We start from the raw sequence: 3,729 nt of genomic DNA, 5'->3' as shown, positions 1-3,729 counted from the left end.
TGAGGCAGTAAAGGGAAGTAGCAGATTTTGACTCAGGGCAGCAGAGTTGTAGTAGTTGAAAAGATGAGAGTTGCTGGTGGTCTAGCTAGGAGCTATGCATATTAACCTGCAGAAGGGAGACAGTGTTTCTCTGAACATTCAGAGCAAAGTCATATTTCTAAAAACACTGAAATATGAGAACAGGAAACAATCTTACAGAGCTGTTTGGTATTCTTAGTAGGATAACAGAGGTATGAAACAGAAAGCCATGCAAGAAATTGAAATATAAAAATGTAAGCTTTATGAGGGCAATAATTGTTTCATTACTGCTCTATTTCCATAGGCTTGCTTAACAAAAACTGATGAATGAATGAATAAGATAAGGAGATAGCTGGATGAGATAAAGTAATATTTCTGGGAAACTAAATGTAGAAATAACAGAAATGAAATCTGCAGTAGGAAAAGACTAAGAACTGGAATAAGTATTGAATTTAAAAAATAAACAAAATCGGCCAGGCATGGGGGCTCACAACTGTAATCCCAGCACTTTGGGGGGCCAAGGTGGGCAGATCACAAGGTCAGGAATTCAAGACCATCCTGGCCAATATGATGAAACCCCATCTCTACTAAAAATATAAAAATTAGCTGGACATGGTGGCGGGCACCTGTAGTCCCAGCTACTCGGGAGGCTGAGGCAAGAGAATCGCTTGAACCTGGGAGGTAGAGGTTGCAATGAGCTGAGATAGCACCACTGCACTCCAGCCTGGGTGACAGAGCGAGACTCCGTCTCAAAAATAAAATAAAATAAAATAAACAAAATCACAAAACACACAAAAATAGGCAAATGAACAAAGTTATTTAAAATATGTGTTGAAATATCTTTGTTACACTTAAAGATATACCTATAATAATTTAATATATAATATAGATAATTTAATTCCAGGAAAAGGTGAGCCAGAGATATTATGATCAACATACAAAAATTAGAAAATAAGCAAAGGAACATTGTTTATGAAGTAAGGAACAATCTATCTAGTAAGAGACAAACATACAGAGTATTAATTCTTACACAATATGATAATTGCCAGCTTAATATGATAGAGAAATTTGGGTGACACCTCACGAGGAAGTAGCACATAAACTCTCTTGAAGCATGAACAGGATTTTTCAATGGGAAGGGCATTCCAAAGAATTTTTAAGGATGTAGGGTATTTAGGAAATAGTAAATAGTTTGGTATGGCATGAGTAGAAGAAGTGAGGAAAAAAAACTGCAGAAAATTCATCTAGAAGAAAGAGAAATAGCAAGTTTTCCCTTTTAAGTACAAATATTTATGTATATATGTAATTAACTTTCTTGAACACTTGTGGGGATTAATCATTTTGCTTTCAGGAAATGTAATGTGATATAGCTTTCATTGTTGTCTTGAATCTGTATACAAATATTTTGTCATTTATTTTTACATTTTAGTTCCCTAAATAAATTTAAGCAGGGACCTCTCTTAACACTTCTTGCAAAGCACAATGAAAAAAATCCTGAGTATTGGAGCTGGAGAGATCTGGCATCCAATCCACATTTGCCAGATGTTGACTTTGATCAAGGCAATGTACTTATGTAAAGCATGCTGTGTGACAGCCTGTGATTATGATGGCTCTTAAAATCATTTGATTTGGAAGAGATAGCCTTATTCTATGACTTACAAATTTTGACTTAGGCCCATATAATCCTGCATTGGGCCTGGAGCACAGAGTAAGTGCTATTTCCATTCATTTCTCTCTGTGGCATGTGTTCAACACAGTTAACTACAGGTCCTTTTTAATATTAATAGTAGGGTCTCTGGAAATATTCTTTAGGTTAAATTAATGTGACTGGGGAAAGGAGCCTTATGTCATGGTTAAGAAGGCAGACTCTGGCACCAGAATGCCTGGATTTGCATCTTGGCTCTCCCACTGATGAGCCATATGACCATGTGGCTTTCTTTCTCTGTTTCTCCATCAGTATAATGGAGAAATAATGACTTATCTTACAAGGTGGTCATATATTAAAAGAGTTAATATATGTAAAGCACTTGGAAGGGTGGCTGGTACAGAGTGAGCACTTAATAAATGCTGGCTAATATCATCATTGGAAACTAGGCCAGGCATGGTGGCTCACACCTGTAATCCCAGCACTTTGGGAGACCGAGGCAGGCGGATCACAAGGTCAAGAGATGGAGACCATCTTGGCCAACATGGTGAAACCCCGTCTCTACTAAAAATACAAAAATTAGCTGGGCATGGTGGCGTGCGTGCCTTTAGTCCCAGCTACTCGGGAGGCTGAGGCAGGAGGATTACTTGAATCAGGGAGGCGGAGGTTGCAGTGAGCCAAGATTGCACCACTGCACTCCAGCCTGGCGACAGAGCAAGACTCCATCTAAAAAAACAGACAGAAATGGTGGCTCCTCAGATGCATTTTACGTTTAAGTTCCTTGTACTTTTTAATGTGTTTTGTAGACAAAAGGAGAGATAAAAAAAATTGTTGTGCATGATTACCAGCAGAAGTGTGTCTTCCTTATTAGTTACCAGAAAGGTCTATATTATCTTACTGTGATTAGGTATAAACCCAAATTTCTTTCTTTCTTTTTTTTTGAGTCGAAGTCTTGCTCTGTTGCTCAGGCTGGAGTGCAGTGGCACAATCTCGGCTTACTGCAGCCTCTGTCCCCCGGGTTCCAGCAATTCTCCTGCCTCAGCCTCCTGGGTAGCTGGGATTACAGGTGCATGCCACCACGCCTGGCTAATTTTTGTATTTTTAGTAGAGATGAGGTTTTGCCATGTTGGCCAGGCTGGTCTTGAACTCCTGACCTCAGGTCATACGCCCGCCTCGGCCTCCCAAAGTGCTGGGATTACAGGCATGAGCCATCGCATCCGGCCTAAACCCAAATTTCTAAAGTCAGAATAGAATAAGATCTTCTAATTCACATGTGAATTTGGAAGCCATCTTAATTATATGTCACATCCATACTTGAGGAACTGTTGATACCTCAGTTTCCTTATCTGAAAAATAGGCATAATATTACCTACTTCTACTTTTGATATTAAATCTGTGATAGCACATTCAAAATGATGACCTTAATGCCTAGCATAATAAATAATCAGCTCTTATTATTATTATTGATCATTTTCAAATGAACTTTTTAACATTTGTGAATAACTGTGGGAATATGGCTGTTGAATCCAACAGCCAAAACTTGTTTTCCTGTTGTAATCTAATCTAACACCAATGAAATCAAGTACACTTCTTCCATCCTTTGATAAGGCCAGGTTATAAAATATTTATGTATATTGATAACAGGAGAAAAATATTTGTTTTGATCTTCTCCTCCTAATATGCTTTTTGAAACAAGAGAAGCGACAGGTCCTATATTCAATTTGACATTGTCTGATAGTTACTTAAAACAGTACTTTCATTCTTTCTGTTTCTCACATTCAACTGATTGCTTACTTCATTTTTCCTGTCAGTGTGCTCAGCTGGATAAGGAATTGATTCTTAACTTGATGTTATTGTAATTTCCAGGTATAAAGCTTTTGCATTTTATATTACAAATTAGACTAATAGCTGTTTTCTTCTTATAGTCCCATCTTTTAGTCTATTTCTTTTCCCAGGTTTATGTTATTTACTCTATATGGTAAATATTTTATACTATGGTATATAATTTGGGAATTATAATTGGGAATATAATTTGCTTTAATCTAAAATATTTTATATTATTTGAT

This window comes from Homo sapiens, chromosome 4 (genome assembly GCF_000001405.40).
Source record: "Homo sapiens chromosome 4, GRCh38.p14 Primary Assembly".
NCBI lineage: Eukaryota > Metazoa > Chordata > Mammalia > Primates > Hominidae > Homo > Homo sapiens.
This window is presented reverse-complemented; position numbering follows the sequence as displayed.